Below are 19,755 nucleotides of genomic sequence, written 5' to 3' on the forward strand. Positions count from 1 at the left end.
CTCTGACTCACAGATAAGTAAATTTTGGGGCATAGAGGGAGCTATTTCTTTAGAGTCAAGATCAGTTGAAATGCAGTTTATTTCTGAAACCACGTGCTTTAAGAATTGCATAGATTGTCTCTAAAGTGGACCAGGCACCAAAGTTTGAATAAATATGCTTATTTGATGAGGATTTTTAAAAATGGGCCCAATGGAACAAATAAAGAGCTGTTTTTCAACTATGTCACAGTTCTGCTTCCTGGTTGAGAAGCCATAGGAATGCATAGATCGACTTTATCAGGCTGGATTCAATCTGTATTTTAACTATAAGATTTTGCAATTGCTGAAATTAACGAAAAATATTTGCTTAAAAATCAATTTACATTGCAAATTTTTTTAAAATTATTGTTTTAAAGCCTGTTAACAAGCACTGCTAACCAGAACCTGATAGGAGTAAGGTGTGTGGACATCCGCTGGGAAGATTGAGATCCTGAAAACCATTTCAGTGTCTTCTGTACGCCATCTTTGTTCTAACTCCATATTTGAGTTTTATTGAAAAAGGCAGCCTGTCAGAGATTAGGACTGGAGACTAAGTAATCTATTTCAGGCTCACTATTTGTTTTTCCCTTCAGAAACATAAATAATACATCAAAGAAGGATTTTTTTGTCACTGTTTTGCCTTTTGATCCTTCCTAGTCAAAGACTAATATTAAAGTGCATTTCACTTGGTTGTACTAGTAAGATAAAAAATAATCACATAATATACAGGAAAAGTGAAAAAAAAAAAACAGTGTTGAAAACAAATACACTTCTCAACATATTGAACACAGTTCAAAAGAAGTAACGGATACTTCAGTCGGCCAGATAGGTCCTCAAGCGATTTCAGTGATGAGGTTTAGATTCTCAAGGGAGCTGGGAGAGGAGAGTGACATTGTCTTCCCATTTCTCCTGGGAATTCTTAATGCTCATCCCCCAGAGCCAAAAATGACTTTATGAAGGTTTTGAGGCCATGTCTTTCTCTGGAGAACCTTAATGTTCTTATGTAGTTTAAGGAAAAAGTTGCGGTGATGAAATTTTAGTTGTTTATTAACAAGAGAATAACACAGTGGGGAAAAGCGAGATGTAGTGAACCAAGGAATATTTTGCTTAAAAATAAAATAAAATTTGCCTGTTGCAAGTCCTTACACAAAAGCCTCATTGGCCTCTGTGAAGTCTTAAGCAAGTCTTTGTGGGATGAAAGAATATACTCTTGTTAAGTTGTAGTTATAGAACCACTCAGGCTTAGAGGGGTATAATTAAAGCTTATTCAATCATTTGTGCCAGTCAGAGCCAGGCTCCTTGTGGAACGTGAAAATGAATTCTGTATGGAGAGAGAATAATAACTGGCTAAAATTGTGAAGTGTTAAACCTATTTTAAACAGTTGTTAGAAGTTACCCAAATGAGAAATCATAGTTGGTCTCTGCTGATATAACCATCAGCTTAGGTTTTTTAGAAAGCAGACACATATATTTTGAATATAATTATAAATTATGTCAATTCATTATTTAATATTACTGATGTTATAATATCCCTTTGCAACTTTAGTTTTTTTGTGGATGCATGTATAAGTTTAATTATAACAATGTTTAGTATTCAATTTACAAGGTTGATAGCATGATCTCTGTATTGCAGGAAGTATTTTTTTTTTAACATTTAAGAGTTTTATTTATTTATTTATTTATTTATATTTTTATTATACTGTAAGTTCTAGGGTACATGTGCACAACGTGCAGGTTTGTTACATATGTATACATGTGCCATGTTGGTGTGCTGCACCCATTAACTCCTCATTTACATTAGGTATATCTCCTAATACTATCCCTCCCCCCTCCCCCCACCCCACAACATGCCCCTGTGTGTGATGTTCCCCTTCTGCAGGAAGTATTTTAAGATCACATTCAGTGGTACATTTGTTTAAAGTAACCTTCTATATTCTTCTTCTGCATATCAGATATTTAATTTTATTCATAAATCTGTGCTTATAATGTATCTACTAAAAGTCTCTGAAGAGACAAGAGTGAAGGAAATCAAGAACGGTCAGCCATATTAAAATACTACTACTTTTTTTCTAAAAACGCACTAAAAAAAACATTTTTATTCTATTATACTTACAATATTTCCTTTTTCCTTTATGTCATTTGGCCATAAATCCTCTTGAAAGGCAAGGCTTTACAACCCACTTTCTCCTGCTATGTTCTTATTATCTGTACAGTTGGATATATCCATTTTTTTATTCAGTCAACATTTATTGGATGTCTATTGTTTGCCAGAGTTTATGCTACATGTTGGATACAACTAAATTATACAAATTCTTCAGCATTCTATTCTATAACTGATGTGTAACTTCTTCCTTTTCAAATAATATTTACTTTTGAGCTTTCAGAAATCATTTTTATGAGCCAGTCAAGCCTATGTTCTTTATCTTAATCTCTACCAAATTTTTATATTTACATTTGCAACTATTAACACAACTTTCTACAAGTATGAAGGGTAGTGCAAAGTAAATGTTTTTTAAACCAAATTTATTACCTAATATAAGATCTCTCTTTCATAAATTTAAGATACAGGGTCTACTGTTCTCATAACACAAAGAAACTTGGAGGGATCTTTGATTTTTCTCCTTCATTGCCCTCAAAATTTTCTTTGTAAGGGCACTTAAATTCATTTCCACCTCTTTACCTCTTTTGTTCCATTCTTTGTTGTTTTACCTGAGAGGCTTGGTTAATCCTTCAAGTAATATATGATCTGGACCAAAGTGGCCTATAGTGCTACCCAGCAATGCTCCTTTATTTCCCCCATCTCATTCATTTTTACCAGCTCCTGGACATCTCCTTTTCCTGTCTTCTATCTACAGAATATTTACCTCTCATATTTAGCTCTACAGTGCATTTCTTGTTTCAGCTAATAAATGTGCTCTGCCCTCTACACACTTGCTTAAATCAATAGCGCTCCTCTATGAGCCCCTTCCTCCATTTGAGCATCAGATCTTTTCCTCTCTACCAAAATACGGTGCTTCAGAAACTTACTTATCTGTGCTGCTGTATCAAATTTTCCTTCTCTCCGTGAACACATCCATCAACATAAAATACTTCAGTAAATTTTTCATCCCTAAAAGATAAACAAAAAGATTCTCTTGATCCAAGTCATCTCTAGCTATTTTCCTACTCTGTTTTTCAATAAAGCTTCTTCAGAAAGTCTTCTGTATTTGCTATCTCCAATTTATTTTCTCCTGGTCTTTATTTGATAACTAAGTGCTGACTTAACTCATTGGGTAATCAGGATATTATTGAGAATAAAAGGAAATGCTATTGATAATGATTGAAGTTAAGTGCAAATCTAGACTGTCTTATGGAAACCAGATACACTACATACTCTTTTAACATCATTTCATTTTACTTTGCTAGAAAAAAATAAATATTATGGGTGGATATTAGTTGTAAATATTTATGGGGTACAGGTGATATTTTGATAGAAGCATACAATGTGTAATGATTAAATCAGGGCAATTGGGATATCCAGCACTTCAAGTACTTATCATTTCTTTGTATTAGGAACATTCCAATTCCACCCTTCTATTTATTTTGAAATATACAATAAATTAAATTATTAACTATAGTTGCCCTATTATGCTACTGAAAACTAGATCTTATTCTTTATATCTAACTGTACTTTTATACCTTTACCATCACATCTCTATCCCCTCTCTCTACTTCCAGTCCCAGACTCTAGTAACCATCATTCTACTATTTCAATGACTGATTTTGTTTATAGCTACCACATATGAGTGAGAACATGTGATATTTGTCTTTCTGTACCTGACTTATTTCACGTAACATAATGTCCTTCAGTTCCATCCATGTTATTGCAAATGACAGGATTTCATTCTTTTTTTATGGCTGAGTAGTATTCCATTGTGTCTATATACATTTTCTTTACCAATTCATCCGCTGATTGACACTTAGGTTGATTCCATATTTTGGCCATTGTGAACACTGCTGCATTGAAAATAGAAGTGCAAATATGTGTCCAATATACTGATTTCCTTTGGAGATATATCCCCAGCAGTGGAATTGCTAGATCAAATGATAGTTCTATTTGTAGTATTTTGAGGACCCTTCATATTATTCTCCATACTAGCTGTACTAATTTACATCCCCACCAACAGTGTAGGAGGATTCCTCTTTCTCTACTTCCTCACAACATTTGTTATTGCCTGTCTTTTTGATAAAATACATTTTAATTGGGGTGAGATGATACCTCATTGTAGTTTTAATTCACATTTGTCTGATGCACATTTTTTTCATACACCTGCTGGCCATTTGTACATGTTCTTTTGAGAAATGTCTGTTCAGACTTTTGTCCATTTTTTAAGTCAGATTATTTGTCTTTTTTTATTGAGTTGTTTGAGCTATTTGTAAATTTTTGTGATTAATCCTTTGTCAGATGAGTAGTTTGCAAATACTTTCTCCCATTCTGCAGGTTGTCTCTTCCCTTTCTTGACTATTTCTTTTGCTGTGCAGAAGGTTTTTAGCTAGTTGTGATCCCATTTGTGCAATTTTGCTTTGGTTACCTGTGCTTGTAGGGAATTACTAAAGAAATCTTTGCCTGGACTAATGTCCTGAAGAGTTTCCCGAATGTTTTTTTTTCTAGTAGTGTCATAGTTTCAGGTCTTAGATATAAGTATTTAATCCATTTTGATTCGATTTTTGTTTGGCGAGAGATGAGGTCTAGTTTTATTTTTCTGCTTACAGAGATCCAGTTTTCCCAGCACAATTTAATGGAGAGACTGTCCTTTCCCCATTTCATGCTCCTGTAGCCTTGCAAAAAATGTATAGACTGTTAATGGGTGGATTCATTTCTGGGTTCTCTATTTTGCTCCCTTGGTCTATATGTCTGTTTTTATGCCAGTACCATGCTGTTTAGGTTACTATAGCTTTGTAGTATAATTTGAAGTCAGGTAATGTGATGCCTCCAGCTTTGTTCTTTTTGCTCAGGATTACTTTGGCTATTTTGAGTCTTTGGTGGTTTCATATACGTTTTAGAATTATTATTTTTTATTTGTGTGAAGAATATTGGTATTTTGATATTAATTGAATTGAATCTGTAAATTGCTTTGGATAGTATGGATATTTTAGCCATATTGATTCTTATAATCCATGATCATGGGATATCTTTCAAGTTCTTTGTGTCCTCTTTAATTTCTTTCATCAGTATTTTTTAGTTTTTAATTGCAGAGATCTTTCATTTCTTTGGTTAAGTTTATGCTGAGTCATTTTATTTTATTTGTAGCTACTGTAAATGGAATTACTTTCTTGGTTTCTTTTTCCAATTGTTCACTGTTGGCATATAGAAATGCTGCTAATTTTTGTATCCTGATATTGTATCCTGAAACTTTATTGAATTTGTTTGAGTTCTATTTGTTTTTGGTGGCGTCTTTAGATTTTTCTAAATATAAGATCATCTGGTATGCAAACAATTACAACTGGACTTTTTTTTCAGTTAGGAAGTCTTTTATTTCTTTCTCTTGTCTACTTGCTCTAACTAGTATAACCACCCAATGGGTTCATCTTGTCTGTTGCTGACATAGAGCCGATTTATCAAAATGGGGGCTTGCAATAGAAAAAGAGCTTTACACATGTAGAGCTGGTTAAAAGGGAGACTGGGGTTTTATTATTATTCAAAGCAGGCTCCCCCACAATGTGGAGGGTTTTTCAAAGATAGTTTGGCAGTGGCCAGGGGTTGCCCAGGAATGCAATGTAAACATAGGGGTGTGGAAAATGGTCCTTGTGCGCTGAGTCCACTTCTGAGTGGGGGGCCACAGGACCAGTTGGTGGGTAATCCGGTTGTCAGAAATGCAAAAGCCTGAAAAGACATCTCAAAAGGCCAATCTTAGGTTCTACAGTAGTGATATCTACAGGAGTAATTGGGGAAGTTGCAAATCTTGTGACATCTGGAATAATAGCTGGTAATCACTTATGACTACCTCTTAGCAGAATAGCTCCTCTCATTCTCCTAATCTGGTGGTCTCTTTCATTAGTTTTACAAAGGCGATTTAGTTTTGGGAAAGGGCTATTATCATTTAAACTATAAACTAAATTTCTCCCAAAGTTTTCTTGGCCCAAGCCCAGGAATGACTAAGGGCAGCTTGGAGGTTAAAGGCAAGATGAGGATTTGTTAGGTCAGATCTCTTTCACTGTCATAATTTTTGGAAAAGTGGTTTCACTAGGACTCCCAGTACTACTGAATCTTATTAACCCAATTCAGTGAGGCCTTATCCCCATATCCCTATTACTCCCCCAAACTGCCCTTTTATAATTAAATATAAACCTCTGCAGTGCTAAATATGATGATTAATTCTTGGGCCCCATCCTACTTGACCTATCAGCACCATTTGTCCATTGTATCACTCATTCCTCCTAGAAACTCTTTTTTTCCTTTGCTTACTTAGCTTTCAGGACATCACATGGACATGGTTTTCCTCTTCATTCATTAGTCATTATTTCTCAATCTCACTTGCTGGTCTCTTCTTCTCTCCGACCACCTTAGCCTTGGAATATACCAGGGCTCAGTTCTTGAAATATTTCTCATTTCTATTTACATTCACTCCGCTGGTAAGTTTTTTTCTATAAAATGACTTATCTCTATGCTATCACTAAGATTTTGAAAATATATATTCAAAACTTTTTTTTCAAATCCCTAAGGCACTTAACTGTAGATTATAGTACATAAACTAGAATAGTCTTACCTTTATATGTCAGGAAAAGTTATTTCCCATAAACAATCTAAAAGTACTGTATTTTCAAATTCAAGTGACATAAAAAAGACCTTGACTTGTTTAAAAAAATATTTAGGTACTCGAGTCAAGAGAATTCTTTTGAAGATATTTTTCTTGTTGAATGTAGCTCAAAATAGATGAGATTTAATTTACCTCTCATGACAGAATTTTATTGGTGTTCAACAATTGTGCAATATTTGTCAGAGAACTGGGTTATGCCAGGAACAAATGCTTTAGGGCATGCAATCAGTCAGTGTCAGCAGATACAGTGCACAGCCCCAGAGTGACAGTGCCAATCAAATTTGTGACTCCTGGGAGATGAAGGAAAGGAGGCAAGCGAGTGCTCCTTAGTAGATACTTGCAGGAGACTTCCTCATGCTGCTTTTAGGCAACCACAGTATTGCTTTTCTGGCAATACTGCCTGTTTTAGTCTTCTTGAGCAGTTGTAACAAAATACCATATAGTAAGTGTCTTTAAACAGACATTTATTTCTCACAGTTCTGGAGACTAGAAGCCCATGATCTGCTTGACAGCATTGTTGGGTTCTCAGTGAGGGCTCCTTTTCTGGCTTTCAGAAGGCCGTCTTCCCACTGTATTCTCACATGGTGGAGAGAGGAAGGTCTGGCATCTCTTCCTCTTCTTATAAGGCCACTAATCCCATCATGTGAGCTCTACCCAATGACCTCATCTAAACCCAATTACCTCCCAAAGGCCCCATCTCCCAGTACTATCACACTAAGAGTTAGGGCATTAAGTTACATTTTGGGACTTATATACTTCCAGTCTATAATTGTTATTGCTTCTTTAAGGCAAACTTACTCCAGAATCCATAATACATTGAGTGAAAGGTTTATGTAGTAGATTAGGGCTACCAGTGACCACAGAGATAGATTGAATCAGCATAAAATTAAATATCTAATTTCGGTTCTAGCACTTGCTCTCTGCTGTATAAGCAAGTCTCTTAACTTCTTGCCCCCAGCTTTTAATTTTTTTTATTTTTTAATTTTTATTTTATTTTATTTTATTTTTTGAGATGGAGTCTCGCTCTTTCGCCCAGGCCAGACTGCAGTGGCACGATCTCGGTTCACTGCAAGCTCCGCCTCCCGGGTTCACGCCATTCTCCTGCCTCAGCCTCCCTAGTAGCTGGGACTACAGGTGCCTGCCACCGCGCCCAGCTAATTTTTTTGTATTTTTAGTAGAGATGGAGTTTCACCGTGTTAGCCAGGATGGTCTCGATCTCCTGACCTCATGATCCACCTGCCTCGGCCTCCCAAAGTGCTGGGATTACAGGCGTGAGCCACCGCGCCCGGCCACCCCCAGCTTTTTAATAGGTAGAATAATGGAGCTGGGTCACAGGAGCTTATGACTTCCTTCTAGCTCTAAAACACCAAAATGTTCTGACAAAAACAAGCTTCTTTCTTTTATTGAAAGAAACACCTTAATATTTAATAATTAGAAACTAGACTATCTTATAATACATTGCTTTGCTATTGAAAATCTTTGCATGAAAAAATCTGTAAAACACATTTTCACTTCCCCTATAGTACAAATTTAGCAATAAGCAAATTCTTCATCTATTTGCCTCATAGATTTCCTTCCTGAATATCACCTCATTTTATTCTGAGTATTTAGTGAAAGTTAAATTCCAACAGATGAGTCATCTTCAGTAGCTGTTGGTTCCCTCATGGCTTCTAATTTGTAAATCTGTATTGGAATCTGTACTTGACTTATATTTATCGCCTATATTTAGCTCAAGTTCAATGTGGACTACAAAACCACATCTGGTCTCCAGAGCTCCCAGATCTAACCACTGGCACAAATCTTTTCCAACTGATAAGGAGCTTCACTTAAACACCTTCAGCTGGAAGCACAGTGCAAATGTTCTCAGCTGTCTGGCTTGGCACCTGGAACTGTCCCCATTACATTTTGGTATGACGTGAGTGGGTGTCACTTTCTGAATACCTTGAAATGAAAGAAATCCTTGAATTCTAAAATGTGCCAGAATGTGTAGCATTTATAAAGGATAATAAATTTAATTTCGTATTTATAATAGAAAGTAAATAATGTGATGAAGTAATATTTAGAATTACATGGCACCATTAGAACCACAAATTTTCAGGAAAATGAATATGATTTGGGATCCTCGTTTTCATTGCAACAATCTGTGGGAAGTGTGTTAACCAGCTCCCATGCCAGTCTTGATTCTATCTGACCATAGTATTAACTGCTGTGCTTTGGGTATACTTGCTGAGTATGGGCACAACATGTTTTATTTTTCATTTCCAAATGAATTACGTTGTTTAGTATAAGGCATAAAAATGTGTACAAATCAATAGTAAGCATATCATATGTAAATAGTTTTGATTACGGGATTTCACACAATTAGGGTAAAAATATTGATGTCTTTGCCACTAAATCAACCAGGTCTATGGTGATAAATATGGGAAAGTTGATTGCAGTAGTTTGGGATCTGAAAAGCCTTAGAACTGAGTAGTGCAGTTGTGACATAAACAAGTATTGAAGTTATTTTTATTTCAATGACAGCATTAGGGTGTAATAGAAACCCTTGAAAGAGGAGGACGTATAGTGTGACAGGAGCACAGACGACCCTTTCACTCGCCCTGCAGCATTCCACACAGAGTCCTATCTCTTGATTCAGAAGCCAGATGTGGGTATTAGTCAGGCATGTGTGGCTGTGTGCGGTATGTCAGTTGTAATGTACTTAGTGGAAAAGAGATTTATTTTTACACTCCCCTCCCTAAAAGTCATTAATAATTAATGAAACTTTAGTGTCCTTTAGGGCAAATTCAAAGAGCAGTTGCGAAGGCTTACTGAAAACACCATGAAATTTAACTCATGGCAATCTCAAAACAGCTTACGTATGAGCTTCTTTTTATTTTGACACTGTTTTCCATTAAAATTCATAGGGAGAAAGAGACAGACAAAATGTTTGTGGGTTTTTCTGAATGGAAATACCATTAGAGAATGATCTCAGCTATGGAAGAAACTACTCTAAAATTCTGGAAAAGCCATAAACATCATTTTTCCTTGTTTTTATTCCTCCAGTAAAAAAAAGAAGGGTAGCCAAAATTTTCAAAAGTAGTCAGTGACAAAAAGCCTTTTTATTCTTGATGAATTGGAAAATTATCCTTTTACTTCCCTAAATGTTTTTATAACAGTAGCTAAGCCATGTATCTCTGAGGTTTAAAAGAAATCCAGTGCTCACATAACCTTTAATGTTCTCCTCCAAGCAATTTTTGATGAGTAATAATTTCCAAGAAAAATGAGCCCTTTTTTTTTTCAGTAATTTCTTACCCTAAATACAGGCATACCTCATTTTACTGTGCTTCTCAGATATTGTATTCTTTACAAATTGAAGGTCTGTGGCAACCCTGCTTTGAGCAAGTATATTGGTGCCATTTTTTTCAGCAGCATGTGCTCGCTTGGTGTCTCTGTGTCACATTTTACTAATTTGTATGATATTCCAAACTGTTTCATTAATACTGTATCTGTTATGGTGATCTGTGAATAGTGATCTTTGATGTTACTATTGCAATTGTTTTGAGAGCATCATGAACTCTACCTATATAAGACAGGGAACTTGATAAATGTGTGTGTGTTCTGATTGCTTCATCAACCAGCTGTTTCCTCATCTTCCTCTCCTCAGGCCTCCCTGTTGCCTAAGGTACAGCAATATCAAAATTAGGCAGACTAATAACCCTACAATAGCCTGTAGGTATTCAAGTGACAGGAGGAGTTACATGTCTTTGACTTTAAAACTAGAAATGATGAAACTTACTGCAAAAGTCATGTCAAAAGTGGAGATAGGCCAAGAGGTGGGCCTCTTGTATGAAACAGGTAGGCAAGTTGAAAATGTGAAGGAGACGTTCTTAAAGGAAATTAAAAGTGCTACTCCAGTGATCACACAAATGATAAGAAAGCAAAACAGGCTTATTGCTGATGGAGAAAATTTTAGTCGTCTGGTTTGAAGATCCATTGAGCCAAAAAATTCTCTTAAGTCAAATACTAATCAAGAGAATAACCCTAACTCTCTTCAATTTTATGAAGGCTGAAAAAGGTGAGGAAGCTGCAGAAGAAAAGTTGGAACCCAGAAGAGGTTGGTTCATGAGATTTTAGGGAAGAAGTTTTCTCTATAACATAAAAGTACAAAGTGAAGCAGCAAGTGATGATGTAGAAGCTGCAGCAAGTTTTCCAGAACATCTAGCTAAGATAGTGATGAAAGTAGCTACACTGGACAACAGACTTGCAATATAGACAAATCAGCTTTTTATTGGAAAATGATGCCATTTAGGACTTTCATAGCTAGAGAGGAGAAGTCAAAGCTTGACTTGACAGTTTCAATGGACAGGATGACTCTTTTGTCAGGAGATAATGCAGTTGGTGATTTTTAAGTTAAAGCCAATGCTCATCTCATTGACTACTCTGGAGACCCTAGGGCCCTTAAGAATGATGCTAAATCTACATCTGAAGACTCAGATGATTACTAGCATTTTTTGGCAATAAAATATTTTTAAATTAAGGGGTTTGTATTTTTATATATAATGCTATTGCACACTTAATATACCACTGAATAGTGTAAAGATAACTTGTATAAGTGCTGGAAAACCAAAAAAAGTTGTCTGGCTTACCTTATTGCAATATTTACTTTATTGCGATGGGTATGCCCTATCATTCATTTTGGAAGTGCTTTTAGTGCTTTGGAGGTAGGTGAAGTGTGGAAGAGAGATTGTGTTTGTGTGTGTGTGTTTGTGTGTGAAGCAAAGGGAAACTGACCTCTCTTTTATGTGTGGTATAAGAAATGGATTCTTCATTTATTCCAGCAAGAGCTGTAAGTTTCACAGCAAGTGTACCCCAACATTTGATATAATGAGATTGGATACTTCTGGTCTCTTGGTGAGACGTTTCAGGACTCAGCCTGAGAGGATTTGTACCGTCATATGTCTTCACTGCCTCTCTCCTGGTCAGCTGGAGGCTGAATTTCAGCAGGAAACTTTGCTAATGAAGCCTCTTCAGCTGGTGGAGGCTGAACTTTAACAGAGGCCTCTGCAATTGTAGTGGCTGCCTCAGCAGCAGGAGTCTGTTCAGTTGGTGCCTGAACTTCGGCATGGGTCTCCCCAGCAGGTTTGAGCTCTGCTTAATCAGTAGCCTCTTCGGCTAATGGAGCATGTATTTCAGCTGGGAGTTTTTTCTATTGGTGGAGGCTCTATTTCAGCAGAAGCCAGGTTTTTTATTTTTATTTTTTATTTTTATTTTTATTTTTTTTAATAGCAGAACCTTCTGCTACAATAGGACTTGGCATCTTATCTTTCTTTCTGGAAATCTCAGATGATTCAGCTCTCTCTCCCTCACTTGATTGACATCTGTTATGGATTGAATTGTGTTTCCCCAAAAGGTATGTTGAAGTCCCAGCCGCCAGTACCTGTGAATATGAGTTTCTTTGGAAATAGGGCCTTTGTAGATGTAATCAGATTAAGATGGTGACCTTATAAGAAGAAAAACAAGAGGAGACAGACACAAAAGAAGGATGGGCATGTGAAGATTGAGAGATTAGAGTTATGCTGCCACATAGTAAGGAATGTCTGGGGCTACTAGAGCTTCAGTGGAAGCTGGCCCTACCCCGACCGTGATTTGGGATTTCTAGCCTCCAGAACTTTGAGGGAATACATTTCTGTTATTGTAACTCAGAAAAACAAACAAACAAAAAAAAAAAAAGAAAAAAAAAGCATTCCTGGTACTTACCTGGGTTGTAACATACTGTTGCAGAGTTCTGGATGGTTAGATGTGACCTTTATCTCATTAATTTCTAAGACTTATATAGCCTCCTCATCATCCAAGGTGTAATGGTCTAAGTGATATCAATAGCAAATGAAATATTATCTTGTGATGGTTAATACTAAGTGTCGGCGGGGAGGAGCCAAGATGGCCGAATAGGAACAGCTCCGGTCTACAGCTCCCAGCGTGAGCGATGCAGAAGCGGGTGATTTCTGCATTTCCATCTGAGGTACCGGGTTCACCTCACTAGGGAGTGCCAGACAGTGGGCGCAGGTCAGTGGGTGCGTGCACCGTGCTCCAGCCAAAGAAGGGCAAGGCATTGCCTCACCTGGGAAGCGCAAGGGGTCAGGGAGTTCCCTTTCCGAGTCAAAGAAAGGGGTGACGGATGCACCTGGAAAATCAGGTCACTCCCACCCGAATACTGTGCTTTTCCGATGGGCTTAAAAAACGGTGCACCAGGAGATTATATCCCGCACCTGGCTCAGAGGGTCCTACGCCCACGGAGTCTCGCTGATTGCTAGCACAGCAGTCTGAGATCAAACTGCAAGGTGGCAGCGAGGCTGGGGGAGGGGCGCCTGCCATTGCCCAGGCTTGCTTAGGTAAACAAAGCAGCCGGGAAGCTCAAACTGGGTGGAGCCCACCACAGCTCAAGGAGGCCTGCCTGCCTCTGTACGCTCCACCTCTGGGGCAGGGCACAGGCAAACAAAAAGACAGCAGTAATCTCTGCAGACTTAAATGTCCCTGTCTGACAGCTTTGAAGAGAGCAGTGGTTCTCCCAGCACGCAGCTGGAAATCTGAGAACGGGCAGACTGCCTCCTCAAGTGGGTCCCTGACCCCTGACCCCCGAGCAGCCTAACTGGGAGGCACCCCCCAGCAGGGGCAGACTGACACCTCACAGGGCCGGGTACTCCAACAGACCTGCAGCTGAGGGTCCTGTCTGTTAGAAGGAAAACTAACAAACAGAAAGGACATCCACACCAAAAACCCATCTGTACATCACCATCATCAAAGACCAAAAGTAGATAAACCACAAAGATGGGGAAAAAACAGCAGAAAAACTGGAGACTCTAAAAAGCAGAGTGCTTCTCCTCCTCCAAAGGAGCGCAGTTCCTCACCAGCAATGGAACAAAGCTGGACGGAGAATGACTTTGACCAGCTGAGAGAAGAAGGCTTCAGACGATCAAATCACTCCGAGCTACGGGAGGACATTCAAACCAAAGGCAAAGAAGTTGAAAACTTCGAAAAAAATTTAGAAGAATGTATAACTAGAATAACCAATACAGAGAAGTGCTTAAAGGAGCTGATGGAGCTGAAAACCAAGGCTCGAGAACTATGTGAAGAATGCAGAAGCCTCAGGAGCCGATGCGATCAACTGGAAGAAAGGGTATCAGCGATGGAAGATGAAATGAATGAAATGAAGTGAGAAGGGGAGTTTAGAGAAAAAAGAATAAAAAGAAACGAGCAAAGCCTCCAAGAAATATGGGACTATGTGAAAAGACCAAATCTACGTCTGATTGGTGTACCTGAAAGTGACGGGGAGAATGGAACCAAGTTGGAAAACACTCTGCTGGATATCATACAGGAGAACTTCCCCAATCTAGCAAGGCAGGCCAACAATTCAGATTCAGGAAATACAGAGAACGCCACAAAGATACTCCTCGAGAAGAGCAACACCAAGACACATAATTGTCAGATTCACCAAAGTTGAAATGAAGGAAAAAATGTTAAGGGCAGCCAGAGAGAAAGGTCGGGTTACCCTCAAAGGAAAGCCCATCAGACTAACAGCAGATCTCTCGGCAGAAACTCTACAAGCCAGAAGAGAGTGGGGGCCAATATTCAACATTCTTAAAGAAAAGAATTTTCAACCCAGAATTTCATACCCAGCCAAACTAAGCTTCATAAGTGAAGGAGAAATAAAATCCTTTACAGACAAGCAAATGCTGAGAGATTTTGTCACCACCAGGCCTGCCCTAAAAGAGCTCCTGAAGGAAGCACTAAACATGGAAAGGAACAAGCAGTACCAGCTACTGCAAAAACATGCCAAATTGTAAAGACCATCGAGGCTAGGAAGAAACTGCATCAACTAATGAGCAAAATAACTAGCTAATATCATAATGACGAGTTAATGGGTGCAGCACACCAACATGGCACATGTATACATATGTAACTAACCTGCACATTGTGCACATGTACCCTAAAACTTATAATAAAAATAAAAAAATACTAAGTGTCAACTTGATTGGATTGAGGGATGCATAGTATTAATCCTGGATGTATCTGTGTGGGTGTTGCCAAAAGAGGTTAACATTTGAGTCAGTGGGCTGGGGAAGGCAGATTCACCCTTAATCTGGTAGGCACAATCTAATCAGCTTCCAGTGAATATAAAGCAGGCAGAAAAACGTGAAAAGGAGAGACAGGCCTAGCATCCCAGGCTACAGCTTTCTCCTGTGTTGGATGCTTCCTGCCCTTGAACATTGGACTCCAAGTTTTTCAGTTTTGTACTCAGCCTGGATCTCCTTGGTCCTCAGCTTACAGACAGCCTATTGTGGGACCTTGTGATCATGTAAGCTAATACTTAATAAACTCCTCTCTCTCTCTCTCTCTATATATATATGTATACACACACACACACACACACACAATTTAACCTTTGTATTTTATGTCACATGTTCAAATCTCACCTTGTCTCTAACCATTCACAGAACCATGTTGTAGGTCCTATCATTGATGTCATTCATACAAGAGAGTAAATGTCAGTTATAGATATATATCTATGACATCATATATATATATATATATATATATATCCTATTAGTTCTGTCCTTCTAAGAGAACTCTAATACATATCTACACGCAGATACATCAGTAGTGATCTTGAAAGCCCTGACAGATCATAGAATGAACGCACAATGAATCAAAACAAAACAAACAATTCCTCTCCCAGTAGCCTGCATTCAGAGCACTATCAATGGCCTACCATCTCATGCAAAAAGGCCAAGAAGAAGGGATTGAAGCATCTAGAATGGACTTATGTTTTAAAATTTTTCAGCGGTCCTGTTCTTAGAGCCTTCAATGTGCATCTGATTTAACCTCAATGTTCTAAGTAGTCGATGATTCAAAGTTTTTACCAAGAGGACCTTTGTATTCTATGTCACATGGCCAAATCTTACCTTGCCTCTTACAAGTTCACAGAACCATGTTGTAGGTCCTACTATTGATGTCATTCATGCAAGAGACTAAATGCCAGATATATACATATGTATGAGTCCATTCTCACACTGCTGTAAGAACTGCCTGAGACTGAGTAATTTATAAAGAAAAGAGGCTCAATTGACTCACAGTTCTGCATTACTGGGGAGGCCTCAGGAAACTTACAATCATGGCAGAAGGGGAAGCAGGCACATCTTACACGGTGGCAGGCTAGAGAAAGCATGCGAAGGAAGAACTGTCAAACATAAAACCATCAGTTCTCATGAGAACCCACTCAGCATCATGAGAACAGCATGGGAGAACTGCCCCCAGGATCCACTCACCTCCCTCCCTCAACACATGGGGATTACAATTTGAGATGAGATTTGGGTCGGGACACAGAGCCAAACAATATCAACATACATATTCTAATATTCTGACAACTTACCTGATGTTGCTCCTGACTTTTAGTAGCTTATCTATGCACATTGCCATTAGTTAAAGGACAAACTATAGATATGAATACAACAGAAGTAGGTAAATAATAGACTGGGAGTGGAGAGAGGGGAAGAGAGGGAGAATTTTACCTAAGTGGTAGAAGTAAATATGTAAGTTCCACCCATTTACCCTGAAATTCATTATCTGGAAAAAAATCTATAAAAATTGTTTTCAAAGCATGATCTCACAATGTATGTTACTCTTCAGATTGAATAAAGCTATTCTGTAAAAATGGAATATTGGTGATTCTTATCCTCCAATTAATAGATGTAAAACAGTTTTTGTGTCAAAGTATTGTGAATTAAAATTCTGACTCAACCAATTAGCATTAAAGTTGACCTTGATTGAGTTGTTTAATATTTCATTTTGAGCCCATGTCTTTACCTGTCAAATGGTAACATAAATACAAACCCTGCAATATTATGTTGAGGGTCAAAGGAAAGATGTGTAATCACTAATACAGTATCTAGAATATAGTTGATATTCAAAAAGTAATAATACTCTTCTTCTGTCCTGCATTTCACATTGCACTGGACTGCAACATCCTTTTGTATTCAAAACCATTCAGCTAAATAACATTAATTAAAATTCTGCTACAGATTAGCATCATTGTGGTAGCTGTTCAAATAAATTAACAGCAAAATAATACATAACATGTTCGACTAAAGAGGCAGATATAATCTCATAAAATTATAAATATTTACAACATATTACAACTATGACAAACATATATTTTTGTGTTTATATTTGTGAGAGAGACATTTACCAGAACTAGAGAGACTAGGTAGGAAGACAGAGGACACATCACAAAAAGAGTGGCCTGAATGTCTATTAATTTGGCGGCTCACTTTGCCCAGTGTCTTTGGTCATTCCTACTTATTGTATTAACCAGTAAAATTTGGGTGTGGGTATGTATCTTCACTACTTTGTGTGCATGTATATGTGTGTATCTGTACAATGTTTAGAGCTGACAGTAAAAAGACATATAGATAAATCAGTGGCTGGGGTCTAGGTGGAATATAATAATACACTGCTGAAGGAGCAACCCCAGAAGAGACACTCAGAGATATGATGAATGAAAAATACATATTGATGCACTGTACAGTTTCTTACTCAGAGATCATTCACAGAAATCTTTTTCTCCATAGGGACATTATGATGCATTGACTTGTAGCTAACTGCATCATTCATTTAGTGCTTGGGACAGCTGCCCTTTCTCTGTGTCAGTGTTTGAATCCCCAGGAGAAGTTGAAATAGAATGTTTTTTACCTTACTGTGATAAGTCTTTTATAAAATAAACAAAGAAAAAGATCTATAATTTATACCATTATTATATTTTACCACCCATTCTAATTACTTAATATAAGGATCAAAATATAGATTCTCTTTCATTATTATTGTATGCCATTCTGAAGCAATGTTTGTCTTTACTTGAGGGGGCACATGTCCTATTGATTTATTGAAAAGAAAACTCTACCTGGAATCTTTGAAAACTGTCTACAACCTTTGAATGCCTTACTTTTTATCTTTCTAGTAAAAAACAGAGAGTCTACATGTCTAGCTGTTAACTATCACTAGAAACTTGGAAGAGTAGTAAGTAAAAGTCAGAAATGAATATTTCATAGACTTTGGCAGCAAATTTAAAAGAAATGCAAAATGAGATAATTTTGTTATTTTTTCCTCACTTCTTGGAAAATCACTGCAGAGCTCAAAATGTGGTGGCACCAAGAATTTCACATATAATTTTATTTTTAGCTTTTAATCATATTATCTTACCTTGTCTTCACTTTAATATATTTATATCCCAATGCAAATATTTTGGATAGATGCATAACCTTGCTTTTTAAGAATTCCAGACAAAAAGAAGATTGGAAAATATCTCCAAGCTACACAATCTTTGCTTTTGTTGGATGTAGCCAATTGCACGCAATCCAGATGACTCATATGTGGACTGCTAAAACACAAAATATTTCTCTCTCTCCTTGTCTTTATTCCTCTCATTCTATTATTATCTCTCCATCTTTCTTTTTCTGCTTCTTCTTTCCTGTTTTTTCCATACTCATAATTTATATATACCCAAAATACCTCACGATGTCTGAATAAATGTGCAGATCAAAGAGGCATGAGACAAGAATTTGAAGGCATCAATATGAGAGGATAATCAACAAGGAAGAGTTATACTGCCAAGATTATTATTTTTATCCTTTAAGCCTTTTTGTCAGATAGTTTAAATGAAGAGTTAAATTTCTTACTGGGTTTCTGTCACTTTTGGAAATAATCCTTCAATCATGTATATATAGGCTTACTAGAATATTTTTGCGTAATGCTTAAAACAGCTGTTAAAACTCAAATGAGTTTTGATACAATATTACTTTTATTTAAATTTTTATTCGTTGTTTCCAGACAACCCAGCTCTTTCTTTAATTGATCTGCTGTTTCCATTACATTTCATTGCCATCATATCACTTATTATGACCACTACAGGCCTAGATTTACCAGCTGCCAAACTGAATATACTGAATTCAGCTACAGCAAATCTTTGTTAAAAACAAAACAAAACAAAACAAAACAAAAAACAACACTACATAAAATCCAAGACTTGTTTCTCATAACAGTAACAAAATGCCAGTTAGAACTGTGGTTACAAAATATCTTCATTCACAGACCATTCTATTTCTGGTGAAATTTACTTTGGAGTCTCAAGAATTCCAGGGATATCAATTGAGTATTCATTTCTTTATTCTCCCATTGTTGTGGTGATGTGCTAGAGCCAAGCAGTTTTAAACAAAAATTCCAAGCTTTTGTATTTAAATTTGTATTATTGGTTGACTTTTTCTAGGTTAGGGGCAAGTTAAAGAGCATTAAATGTTTCAGAATGATGTTTAGAAATTGGATTAAATAAGAAATTTCTCAACCTTCCCAATAGCAGCAATTCTAGACTTAGATTTATTTGATCTGGGACCCAATCAAAACACGTTGTGGTTTTGCTTCCCATTAAATTTAATTCAACAATTTATTGAGCTTCTATGTACCAGAGTCTTTGCTAAACGCAAGGAAACTTAAAGATGAAAACCATACAATTCCTACCTTCCACAAGCTTACACACCTAGGGGAGAAATGAGGCAAGAAAACACACAGATAATCACACCCTGAGGATGCTTCCCTTCCAGGTTCTCACTAATAACAAACAGCTCAAAAAAGCACAGATAGTCCTCTGAATTGTAGGTCACCCAGTCTTCCTCCCAGAATTATGGGTACTCAGGTCAATTAAAGTCAATTAAATTTAACTTAATGAACATGAGTGACACAGACTAAACTAAATTGGGAATGCCATCTTTCTGGAGAATGGAACTAAATTTTTCTAGAAACTTTTCATTCTATTGTTTGTTTTGGATTTCATTTTTCTTATAGTAGGTTAGAGTATACTTGCCCACTTGTGCCAAAAGTAGAGTGAAGCAGGGCTTGAATACCTCTGAACATT

At 37.2% G+C, this 19,755-nt stretch overlaps 2 long non-coding RNA genes across 2 annotated transcripts in view; one reads left to right on the plus strand and one right to left on the minus strand.

Annotated features, from left to right (window-relative positions):
- DSEL-AS1 (DSEL antisense RNA 1) overlaps window positions 1-19,755 on the plus strand; it is a 383,074-nt gene that overhangs the window by 74,368 nt on the left and 288,951 nt on the right. The gene's annotated exons all lie outside the window — the stretch shown is intronic.
- LOC105372174 (uncharacterized) overlaps window positions 1-19,755 on the minus strand; it is a 36,647-nt gene that overhangs the window by 3,668 nt on the left and 13,224 nt on the right. Inside the window, exon 2 of the long non-coding RNA XR_935590.3 lies at window positions 3,046-3,127. This is a non-coding gene — a long non-coding RNA (uncharacterized LOC105372174). The remainder of the gene's footprint in view (window positions 1-3,045; window positions 3,128-19,755) is intronic.

This window comes from Homo sapiens, chromosome 18 (assembly GCF_000001405.40).
Source record: "Homo sapiens chromosome 18, GRCh38.p14 Primary Assembly".
In the NCBI taxonomy this organism is placed as follows: domain Eukaryota; kingdom Metazoa; phylum Chordata; class Mammalia; order Primates; family Hominidae; genus Homo; species Homo sapiens.